Source organism: Homo sapiens, chromosome 14, assembly GCF_000001405.40.
Source record: "Homo sapiens chromosome 14, GRCh38.p14 Primary Assembly".
Lineage (NCBI taxonomy): Eukaryota > Metazoa > Chordata > Mammalia > Primates > Hominidae > Homo > Homo sapiens.
The window spans coordinates 101,664,863-101,677,384 of NC_000014.9; the positions used below are offsets into that span (position 1 = coordinate 101,664,863).

The 12,522-nt window shown below is 37.7% G+C and overlaps 1 long non-coding RNA gene across 1 annotated transcript in view, besides 1 other annotated feature; it reads right to left on the reverse strand.

Annotated features, from left to right (window-relative positions):
- The window catches only part of LINC02320 (long intergenic non-protein coding RNA 2320), a 102,958-nt gene that overhangs the window by 36,514 nt on the left and 53,922 nt on the right, over positions 1–12,522 (reverse strand). The gene's annotated exons all lie outside the window — the stretch shown is intronic.
- Positions 1,608–2,107: an enhancer, noted in NCBI's record as "H3K4me1 hESC enhancer chr14:102132807-102133306 (GRCh37/hg19 assembly coordinates)". NCBI's record gives its function as "activates a minimal SCP1, AML or CMV promoter by ChIP-STARR-seq in primed H9 embryonic stem cells {active_cell/tissue: H9 hESC(primed)}" and the evidence as "EXISTENCE:reporter gene assay evidence [ECO:0000049][PMID:30033119]".

The window sequence follows — 12,522 nt, forward strand, 5'->3', positions numbered from 1 at the left end:
TCACTCTTGTTGCCCAGACTGGAGTGCAATGGTGCAAACTTGGCTCACTGCATCCTCCACCACATGGGTTCAAGCGATTCTCCTGCCTCAGCCTCCCAAGTAGCTGGGATTACAGACATTTGCCACCACGCCTGGCTAATTTTGTATTTTTAGTAGAGACAGGGTTTCACCATGTTGGTCAGGCTGGTCTCAAATTCCTGTCCTCAGGTGATCCACCTGCCTCAGCCTCCCAAATTGCTGGGATTACAGGAGTGAGCCACTGTGCCCGGCTGAATATTCATTTAGATTTCCCTATCTATTGACACTTTTAGTTGCACTTCATGCCTTCCTGCATCTCTGACCTCTTGCCTGGGTTCATCCTTTGACCTGAAGATACCTTTTAATATTTTCTTTTTTGTAAAACCCAATTGTATTGGTTCTGGAAGTATTCTCTTTAGTGTAGTTCTTCTCATGCCAAACATCTATATGAAGATATCTTTATCTTTAGTCTTGAAGAATATTTTCTTTTCATAGAAAATCCCAGTTTAGCAGCTATTTTTCTTGCAGCACTCTAAAAACATTGTTCTAATGCTGTTGACTTCCTTTATTTCTGTTGAAAATCAGCTATAAGCATAAGGAAAAGGGGTGGGCGTCCAGGACCCACCAAAGGTAGGCTCTGGGACCTCTCTTGCTTGGGGTGGGGACTAGTGGTCTTGGTGTAAGGGCAACCCAGAAGCATTCTAGCCTTCTTGAGTTGGAGAAGTAAAGTGCACCTTTGAATCATCACACTTCCTAAAACTGGATTAAGGCAACCATAGAGTTCTGGTGCCCCCTGGTGCCTGGCAGAGCCAACTTATCTCACACCTGGAGGGAGATCTCCTACATCTTGATGTATTTCTACAATAAGCCAATGAATGCCCTATCACACAATAAGCACATAAGGAGACAAGACAGACTCTGTAGGCAAACAAAACAGAATGGTCCACAGTCACCCAGATAACGGAATTATGATACACAGATCTCAAAATAAATATGCATTCTTTGTTTATGGAGGAAAAAGACAAGATTGAGAATTTTGGCAGAGATCTGAAAACTGTTAAAAAGAAAAAAAGAAGAAGAAGAAGAAGAAAGAAAAAAGAAAGTTACATCCAGTGCCTCTTAAGACCTGGGCAGACTCTTTGGTCGCCTTGTTCTGGAGCCCTTGGCTGTGTGTTGACCACCTCAGGGTTCCATAGCAAAATTCCACAGGCTGGGTGGCTTACATAACAGATTTTGCACAGTTCTGGAGGCTGAGAAGCCCAAAGTCAAAGTGTCGGCAGATTTAGTTCCTGGTGGGGGTCTTCTTGGGGGTTTGCAGATGGCCAGCTTCTTGCTGTGTCTGCACATGGTGGAGAGCCAGGGCTCTGGTCTTATTAGGGGTCTAATCCTATCATGGCGGCTCCACCCTCATGACCTCATCTGAGCCTAATTTCCTCCCACTGAGGGTTAGGGCTCCAACACGTGAATGTCGGAGGAACACAAACATTCGGTCCATAGCAGCCATCTGTTTTGCTTCCACCACCCCGCTGGTCACCAGTTCTGTGTGGGCACCGCCTGACTCCACAGGGAGTGGGCAGCGCATTTCACCCTAAGCCTGCGGTGGATGCCGCTTGTCTCCTACCTCGGGCCTTCCCTGTTGCCAACAAGGCGAGAAACACCCCAGGATTCGCTCAGTACCCACGCCTGTGCGATCCGGTAACCTGAGGTATTCATGCTCCACGGGGTGAACCCCTGATAAATGGGATTTGGCACTGACTGGTAAATAAATTATTCCCCATTCCTCCTCCCAAACAGAATGTGCTGAGAGTCTGTCATTTTACAGCCTCTTTTTTTTTTTTGTTTTGACAGGGTCTCCCTCTGTCGCCCAGGCTGGAGTGCAATGGCGCCATCTCAGGTCAATGCAAGCCAACTCTCGTGTTTGAGTGATTCTCCTGCCTCAGCCTCCTGAGTAGCTGGGATCACAGGCACCCGCCACCACTTCCGGCTAACTTTTGTATTTTTTTCAGTAGAGGTGGGGTTTCACCTTATTGGTCAGGCTGGTCTCCAATTCCTGACCTCAGGTGATCCGCCCGCCTCGGCCTCCCAAAGTGCTGGGATTACAGGCCTAAGCCACCACACCAGGCCGTTTTACAGCCTCTTAGAAAGTACGTCTCTGAGAAGTGGTCATCAGTCACACTTGTCTGCAGCCCTGTCTCTGCCGTATCTGTGTCTCTCCCCTTCTTCCTCACTGCGCCCCCTGGATTTCACTCTCTAATCAAACAGGAGCGCTGCCCTTGCTTCGCACTCTGCCTTCCAGGGGAATCTGTTACCTAGGGAGGCCATGAGGATGCACCACAGCTGGAGGGCTTCACACAGCAGGAATTCATTGTCCCAAAGTTCTGGAAGCCGAAGTGCAAAATCAAGAAGTCAGCCAGGCTGTGCTCCCTCTGCAGCGTCTAGGGAGAATTCTTCCTGCCTCTTCCAGCTTCCGGTGGATCCCAACATTCTTCAGCTTCTGGCGGACCCCAACATTCCTCAGCTTCTGGCCGCATCCCTCCCATCTCTGCCTCAATCTTCACGCGGCGTTATCACCTGCATGTTTCCCTGTCGTCTTCCCTGTATGTCTGTCTATCTATGTCCAAATTTCCCCTTTTTATAAGGAAGGACCCCAGTCATATGGAATTATGGTCCACCCTAATAACTTCATGTTGACGGACTACCTCTGTAAAGACCCAATTTCCAAATAAGGTCACATTCTGAGGCACTGGGGGTTGGGGTTTTGACATATCTTTTTGTAGAGGACACAATTCAATGAAATCCAATCACTAGGGAACGCTGGCTAAGACAAAAATAGAGTAAAAATCCCATAACTAAATAATAATAAAATAACTGAAATTACAAACTTAATTGATTAGCTTAATAGTGAGTTAGACTGGGCTAAAGATGGGCCGGGAGACAGAATCCAGAATAAAGCATGGAATAAAATAGGGAATTTGGGGGCATACTGAGGACAAAAACAAAAAGAATAGGGGAAAACCAAAAAAGCTGCTAAAAGAAAGAGAAGATAAAGAAGGACTGAGGCATATGTCGACCTTTTTCATATATGTAAAGAAAATACATGGGTGAGGGGGCAAAACGGTAATTGAACAATACATGTTAATGGAATCAAATTATAATGGAAGAGATAACACCCTAGAATTTACCCAAAGTGTTGAAAGAGATCAAGCACAGATTTAAGAAACTTTAAAAACCCGAGCAGAAAAAGTACAAGAAATGCATACCTGGATATAGCATGGTAGAACTGCAGAAAACTAAAGAAAAAGAGAAAATATCAAAAGCAGACTATAAAAGATATATTACTTTCCAAAAAAGCATCATTCAGCCTCTCAGTACCTCCCACACTGAATTGGCAGTTTCTTCTGAGAGGAGAAGCAACCCAAAATGGTTTGTCACGTCTGCCAAATTTGGGGCCAGTATTTCTTCACTATTTTATTATGTCCTAATACCTTCAAGTAGATTTCTTATTTAGCTTTTCTGGCTGTCTTCAAAAGAAGAGCTAAATTACCTACATTTCATGTTTACCAGAAGCTAAGGTGCAAATTAATTTTAATGCTTAAAATATCTAAATGATGGCATCCCCTATAAAAGTGTTCTAGGCCGAAATGATTTTACAAATTAGTTTTAGATTACATTCCAATAAGGATAATTTTTATGTTAGTCAAAGTATTCCAAGCCATAGAAAAAAATTAGAAATTTCCTCAATTCAATTTATGATGCTAACACACCTTAATATCAAAACTTTCTTAAGTTATTTCAAAAAATAAATGAACAGTTTTCATTTCTTATGATAGATGGAAAAAACAAATATATATTAAAATCATACACTATGGTCAAGTAGTTTTTATTCTAGGAAAAGAAAGATATGTCAATATAAGACACAGCCACACAGAGACTACACAGCTGCGTTCTCACTGGTGACAGAACCACTGCACACCACCAGCAAGCACCCTTCTACCTCCCTGTAGGGGAAGGTCTTTCCATAGTGAAATCAGTCTGTGAAGTCTGCAAGAGGTGACTCCATCAAATATGCAGACATCAATGAAAGGCAACAAGAAACATGTAAAACCAAGGAGATATATCACCAACAAAAGAACACAATAATCTCCCAAAACTGACCACAAATAAATGAAAAAAAGCCACTGCACTCCAGCCTGGGCGCAGAGCAAGACTCCATCTAAAAAAAAAAAAAAAAGAAAGAAATGAAAAAAAACTGACAAATAATTCAAAATTCAAAATAATTTAAGGAAGCTCAGCAAACTTCAAAAAATACAGAGAAGTAATTCAGTGAAATCAGAAGAACAATAAGCAACCAAAATGAGAAATGTAACAGAAAGATTGAAATTTTTTTTAAAAAAAAGCAAACAGAAATTCTGGCACAGAAGAATACAATGAATGAAATTTTAAAATGTAATAGAAAGCATCAGTGACAGAATGATCAAGCAGAAGAAAGAATCTGTGAACTTGAAGACAGATTATTTGAAAATATACAGTCAGAGGAGAAAAAAGAGTGAAAAAGAATGATGAAAACTTATGGGACTTTGGGGAGAGTATCAAAAGAGCAAATGTTCACATTATAGAAGTTCAAGAAGAAGAGAGAAATAAAGGGGAAGGAAACTTATTTAAAGAAATAATAGCAGAAAACCTTCCAAACCTGGGGAGCAATATAAATATCCAGGTACAAGAAGGTTAAAGATCTCCAATCTGATTCAATCAAAACAAGACTACTCCTGAGACATAATCAATTTGTCAAAAACCAAAGACAAAGAAAGGATCCTAAAAGCTGCAAAAGAAAAGAAACAAATCACATGTAAAGAAGTTCCAGTAAGGCTAACAGTGGATTTCTCAGCAGAAACCTTACAAACCAGGAGAGAGTGGGATGATATATTCAAAGTGCTGAAGGGAAAAAAAAAAACTTCCAACCAAAAATACTTTACCCAGAAAAGCTATTCTTCAGAGATAAAAGAGAGATAAAGACTTTCCCAGGCAAATTAAAGTTGAGGGAGTTTATCACCACCAGACCTGTCTTACAAGAAATGCTAAAGGGAGTTCTTCAAGCTGAACAAAAGTATGCTAATTAGTAGCACAAAAACATACAAAAGCAAAAACCTCAGTGGTAAAAGTACGTAGTACACAGTCAAATTCAGAATACTCTAACATTGTAATGGTGGTGTGTAAATTATTGTTAGTATATAGGTTAAAAGACAAAATTGTTTTAAAATATATTAATTTGCTAAAGGATATACCATATTAAAAGGTGCAAATTGTGACATCAATACATCAAATATGGGGAGGTGAAGTCTAGAGTTGTTGTACGCAAAGTTAAGTTTTTTATTAGCTTAAAACAGCCTATTATAAGATGTTTTATACAAAGCAAAAACCTATAGTAGATACACAAAAAAGAAAGAGAAAGAAATCAAAGCCTACCTCTAAAGAAAATCATCAAATCACAAAGGAGGACAGCAAGAGAGGAACAAAGAAATAAAAACTCCACAAAACAGCCATAAATAAGTTAACAAATGGCAGTAGTAAGTCCTTACCTATCAATAATTACCTTAAGTGGAAATAGATTAAAATATCCAATCAAAAAACAGAATGTTGTATGGGTTTTTTTTAAGGACCCAACTATATGCTGCCTACAAGAGACTCACTTAACCTAAAAAGACACACAGATTGAAAGTGAGAGGATGGAAAAAGATATTCATGCAAATGAAAACCAAAAGAGAAGCTATACTTATAACAGATAAAATAGAATTTAAGCCAAAAAACTGTAAATTGAGACAAAGAAGGTCATTATGTAATGATATAAAGGGATTGATACCTCAAGGAGATATAACAATTATGAATACATAGGTATCCAACATCAGACCACTTTAATATATAAAGCAAATATTAATAGATCCGAAGAGAGAGACAGACTGCAGTATGATAATAGTAGGGAATTTCAATGCTACACTCTCAACAATTCACAAATCATCCAGACAGAAAATCAATAAGGAAACATTGGCTTGAACTATACTTTAGATCAAATGAACCAAACAGACACATATTTTAGGTTGGTGCAAAAGTAATTGCATTAATGGCAAAAACCTCAATTACTTTTGCACCAACCTAAATAGAACTTTTCATTCAACAGCAGCAGAATACCCATTCTTCTCAAGAGCATACGCATGGAAAATTCTCTAGGATATATCATATGTTAGGCCACAAAACAAATCTTAACAAATTTATGAAGATTGGAACCATTTCAGACCCCAGTGGTATAAAACTAGAAATTAATAATAGAGGAAATTTTAGGAAATTCACAAACATGTGGAAATGAAACAACATGCTCCTAAACAAGGGGTCAAAGAAGAAATTAAAAGGAAAATTGTTTTAATATCTTAAGACAAAAGAAAATGGAAGTTCAACATACCAAAAGCAATCCTAAGAGCAACAAATGCCTACATCAAAAAAGAAAAGGAAAGATCCCAAATAAACAACCTCACATTACATGTCAAAGGACTAGAAAAAGAACAAACTATGCCCAAAGACAATAGAAGAAAGGAAATTAAGATAAAGATCAGAGCTGAAATAAGTGAAATAGACACTAGAAGAACAACAGAAAGATCAACAAGCAAAGATTTGTTTTTTGAAAAGAGGAATAAAATTGACAAACCTGTAGCTACAGTAAGAAAAAAGAGAAGACTAAAATAAATAAAATAACAAATGAAAGAGGATACATTACAACTGAATCACAGAAATACAAAGGACTAAAAGAGACTATTATGGGCTGGGCACAGTGGCTCAAACCTGTAATCCCAGAACTTTGGGAGGCCAAGGCAGGCAGATCACGATATGAAAAGATCGAGACAATCCTGGCTAACACTGTGAAACCCCATCTGTACTAAAAATACAAAAACAAAATTAGCCAGACGTGGTGGCAGGTGCCTGTAGTCCCAGCTACTCAGGAGGCTGAGGTGGGCGAATGGCATGAACCCAGGAGGCAGAGTTTGCAGTGAGCTGAGATCGTGCCACTGCACTCCAGCCTGAGCAACACAGCAAGACTCCATCAAAAAAAAAAAAGAGAGAGAGACTATTATGAACATTTGTAGGCCAACAAATTGGGTAACCTAGAAGAAATTAATAAATTTCCAGACATATACAATGTACCAAGACTAAATCATGAATAAATTAACAATCTGAACAGATTACTAATGAGTAAGGAGATTGAATCAGTAATAAAAAGTCTCACATTTGAGACTTTTCCATTGAGACCTGATGGTTTCAATGCTGAATTCTATCAAACATTTAAAGAACACTAATACTAATTCTCTTCAAACTATTCCAAAATATTGAAAAGGAGGGAATACTTCCAAACTCATTTTATAAGGCCAGCATTACCTTGATACCAAAGCCAACTAGGACACTACAGAAAAGAAAATTACAGGCCAACACCCCTGATGAACATAGATGCAAAAATCCATAATAAAATACTGGTAAACAGAATTCAACAACACATTGAAAGGATCATTCACCATGATCAACTGGAATTTATCCCCTGGGATGCAAGGGTGGTTCAACATATACAAATCAACAAGTGTGATATGTCATATTAACAGAATGAAGGACAAAGACATATGATCATCTCAATAGATGTAGAAAAGATATTTGACAAAATTCAACATCTTTCATCCTAAAAATTCTCAACAAATTAGACGTAGAAGAAACTTACCTTAACACAATAAAGCCCATATACACAAACCCATAGCTAACATCATTCTCAGTGGCAAAAAGTTGAAATCTTTTCCTCTAAGATCAGGAATAAGACAAGGATGCCCACCCTCACCAGTTCTATTCAACAGAGTACGGGAAGACCTAGCCAGAGCAATTAGGCAAGAGAAAGATGTAAAAAACCATTCAAATCAGAAAGGAAAAAGTTAAATTGTCTGTTTGCAGACTACATAATCCTCTATGTAGAAAATCCTAAAGATTCCACCAAAAAAACTCTTAGAACTAATAAATAAATTCTGTAAAATTGCAGCATACAAAGTAAACATACAAAAATAAATAGTGTTTCTAAACACTAACGAAAACTACCTGAAAAAGAAATCAAGAAAACAACCCCACTTACAACAGCTATAAAAAAAAATCCTTAGGAATAAATTTAACCCAGGGGATAAAAGATCTGTAAACTAAAAATTAAAACATTGATAAAAAATTAAAGACACAAACAAATGGAAAGATATTTACGTGTATGGATTTAAATAATTAATATTGTTAAAATAAGTGATCTACAGATTCATTGCAATTCCTATCAAAATTCCAATGAACTTTTTCACAGAAATAGAAAAAAATCCTAAAATGCACATAGAACCACAAAAATCACTGAATAGCCAAAGCAATCTTGAGCAAAAAGAACAAAGCTAGAGGCATCACACTATCTGATTTCAAAATCTACTAAAAAGTTATAGTATGGTAAACCCAGGGGATTTTTTAAAAATTAAAAAAATTAATTTTGTTTTACATTTTTTTAAAGTTATAGTAATCAAAACAGCATTTTGACAAAGAGTCCAATAAAACGCAATAAAGAAAGGACAGTCTCCTCGATAAATGCTGCTGGAAAAACTAGATATTGATATGCAGAAGAATGAAATTAGACCCTTGCCTCACACCATATACAAAAATGAATTCAAAGTGGATTCTTAAAGACTTAAACATAAAACTTAAAACTGTAAAACTACCATAAGAAAACATAGGGGGAAAGCTATATAATATTGGTCTGGGCAATGATTTTTTGGGTATGACCCCAAAAGCACAGGCAACAATAGCAAAAATAAACAAGTGGGACTATATCAAACTGTAAAGCTTTTGCACATCAAAAAAAGAAAGCAACCAACAGAGCTGGGAACCCAGAATATCTGAGACAGGTATTTAATAATTATAATTATGAAGTTTATTTTGCCAAGGTTGAGAATATCGGCCCATGTGACAGCCTTGGGAGGTCCTGACTATATGTGCCCAAGGTGGTCAGAGCACAGCTAGGTTTTATACATTTTAGTGTACATTGGTTCCATTCAGAAAGGCAGGACAACTCGAAGCAGGGAAGAGGCTTCCAGGTCACAGGTAGGTGAGAGACAAACGGTTGCTTTCTTTTGAGTTTCTGATTAGCCTTTCCAAAGTGGGCAATCAGATATGCATTTATCTCAGTGAGCAGAGGGATGACTTTGAATAGAATGGGAGGCAGGTTTGCCCTAAGCAGTTCCCAGCTTGACTTTACCCTTCAGCTTAGTGATTTCGGGGCCCCAAGATTTATTTTTCTTTCATATTTCCCCCCTTTTCTTTTTAAAATCTTTTAGAGAAAGCGTTTTAGAAGAAAATGAGTCTCTGGTCTCAGGTTTCATCTGATCTCTCATGGCTACGATGGTTTATTCCTAAATGGGTAGGTTCCAAGTTATTAGGAAAGCTCATTTTTAGCAGGTTGTAAACTCTCATGTCCTATGAAGAGAAAATAGGGGGAGGAAGGAAGAAAAACAACAATAAACAAAAGAACAATCCTGGAAAATCAATATAGGTCACATTACTCTAAAGTCCTTCAGCAAAGTCTCAGGATACAAAATCAATGTACAAAAATCACAAACATTCTTATACACCAATAACAGACAAACAGAGAGCCAAATCATGAGTGAACTCCCATTCACAATTGCTTCAAAGAGAATAAAATACTTAGGAATCCAACTTACAAGGGACGTGAAGGACCTCTTCAAGGAGAACTACAAACCACTGCTCAAGGAAATAAAAGAGGATACAAACAAATGGAAGAACATTCCATGCTCATGGGTAGGAAGAATCAATATCATGAAAATGGCCATACTGCCCAAGGTAATTTATAGATTCAATGCCATCCCCATCAAGCTACCAATGACTTTCTTCACAGAATTGGAAAAAAACTACTTTAAAGTTCATATGGAACCAAAAAAGAGCCTGCATCACCAAGTCAATCCTAAGCCAAAAGAACAAAGCTGGAGGCATCATGCTACCTGACTTCAAACTATACTACAAGGCTACAGTAACCAAAACAGCATGGTACTGGTACCAAAACAGAGATATAGATCAATGGAACAGAACAGAGCCCTCAGAAATAACGCCGCGTATCTACAACTATCTGATCTTTGACAAACCTGAGAAAAACAAGCAATGGGGAAAGGATTCCCTATTTAATAAATGGTGCTGAGAAAACTGGCTAGCCATATGTAGAAAGCTGAAACTGGATCCCTTCCTTACACCTTATACAAAAATGAATTCAAGATGGATTAAAGACTTAAATGTTAGACCTAGAACCATAAAAACCCTAGAAGAAAACCTAGGCATTACCATTCAGGACATAGGCATGGGCAAGGACTTCATGTCTAAAACACCAAAAGCAATGGCAACAAAAGCCAAAATTGACAAATGGGATCTAATTAAACTAAAGAGCTTCTGCACAGCAAAAGAAACTACCATCAGAGTGAACAGACAACCTACAAAATGGGAGAAAATTTTTGCAACCTACTCATCTGACAAAGGGCTAATATCCAGAATCTACAATGAACTCAAACAAATTTACAAGAAAAAAAACAAACAACCCCATCAAAAAGTGGGCAAAGGATATGAACAGACACTTCTCAAAAGAAGACATTTACGCAGCCAAAAGACACATGAAAAAATGTTCATCATCACTGGCCATCAGAGCAATGCAAATCAAAACCACAATGAGATACCATCTCACACCAGTTAGAATGGCAATCATTAAAAAGTCAGGAAACAACAGATGCTGGAGAGGATGTGGAGAAATAGGAACACTTTTACACTGTTGGTGGGACTGTAAACTAGTTCAACCATTGTGGAAGTCAGTGTGGCGATTCCTCAGGGATCTAGAACTAGAAATACCATTTGACCCAGCCATCCCATTACTGGGTATATACCCAAAGGACTATAAATCATGCTGCTATAAAGACACATGCACACGTATGTTTATTGCAGCACTATTCACAATAGCAAAGACTTGGAACCAACCCAAATGTCCAACAATGATAGACTGGATTAAGAAAGTGTGGCACATATACACCATGGAATACTATGCAGCCATAAAAAATGATGAGTTCATGTCCTTTGTAGGGACATGGTTGAAATTGGAAACCATCATTCTCAGTAAACTATTGCAAAGACAAAAAACCAAACACCGCATGTTCTCACTCATAGATGGGAATTGAACAATGAGAACACATGGACTCAGGAAGGGGAACATCACACTCTGGGGACTGTTGTGGGGTGGGGGGAGGGATAGCATTAGGAGATATACCTAATGCTAAATGACGAGTTAATGGGTGCAGCACACCAGCATGGCACATGTATACATATGTAACTAACCTGCACATTGTGCACATGTACCCTAAAACTTAAAGCATAATAATAATAAAAATAAATAAATAAAAAATAAAGTCCATACATCAATAGACAGGTATAAAAGTGGCTTATGTACGTAAAATGTTGCTGTTATTTTCTTCCAGAGATTAAGTTGTCTAGTGGCAGTTTGTAAGGCTTTAAGAAAGCACAGCTTAGTTTTCAGTGATTTTAAATTAGGAAAAATGGGGGAAATAAGGAAAAGAAAGAAGAAAAAAATTGAAAACATTATCTTGGAGATTTGTAGCCAGGAAAAATTAGAATTCAATCTAGACTGCAGAAAATAATAAAAATTGAAAAACATTAGGTAAGACTAGAATCTAACAACAGGTGTACCATAGTTTTTGAAACATAATTTTTCTCTCTCCAGTTTCCCATTTTTACTAAAGACAAATCATGTTATGATTGATTTGCCTTGTTATACTTGGCCAGATTATTTGTATAAAGTACAGCAAGAATAATGATTTTTCTCATAGGCTTTTTAAATTGGCTTTGATGGAGCTTTGTTCCATAGAAGGAATCTCAGATTAGCCTTTTTTAAAGTCGAGCCTAGCCACAGATTTGTACCATCAAATACCTATGAGTTGGGTGAATTCCTCTCCTCTTGAGATCCCAAGATAGCCTGGGGATCCTAGGCCTGTCAGAAAGTGACATTCTTACTTACCACAGGTCAGGAACCCTGTACGGGGACTATGTAGGTATGAGGTCAGTTTTCCTAAAGGGCTTTTATTGGCTCTATAAGTCAAGTTTGATTCCTTAAAGGAAAGCCTACCATTCCAGTCAAAGCCTTGGTAAAATAACCAGTTTCTCCAATTGTGTCCTATTACAAATGAAAACAGATTCTCATTGCACTTTTGCAAATAACTATATAGCCATAGGTTAAGAACACTCAGTTTCCAAATTCTGGAGAATCAGGTAGAAACAAATATGCTTCAAATTTTGTTCATAAAGTATATTTAATTGTTAAAAGCTGTTAATAGCTCAAAAGAAAAGTTTCCTTGACTCTGAAAAACAAAGGATCAGCAACATTTTAAGCAAAAAGTCAAA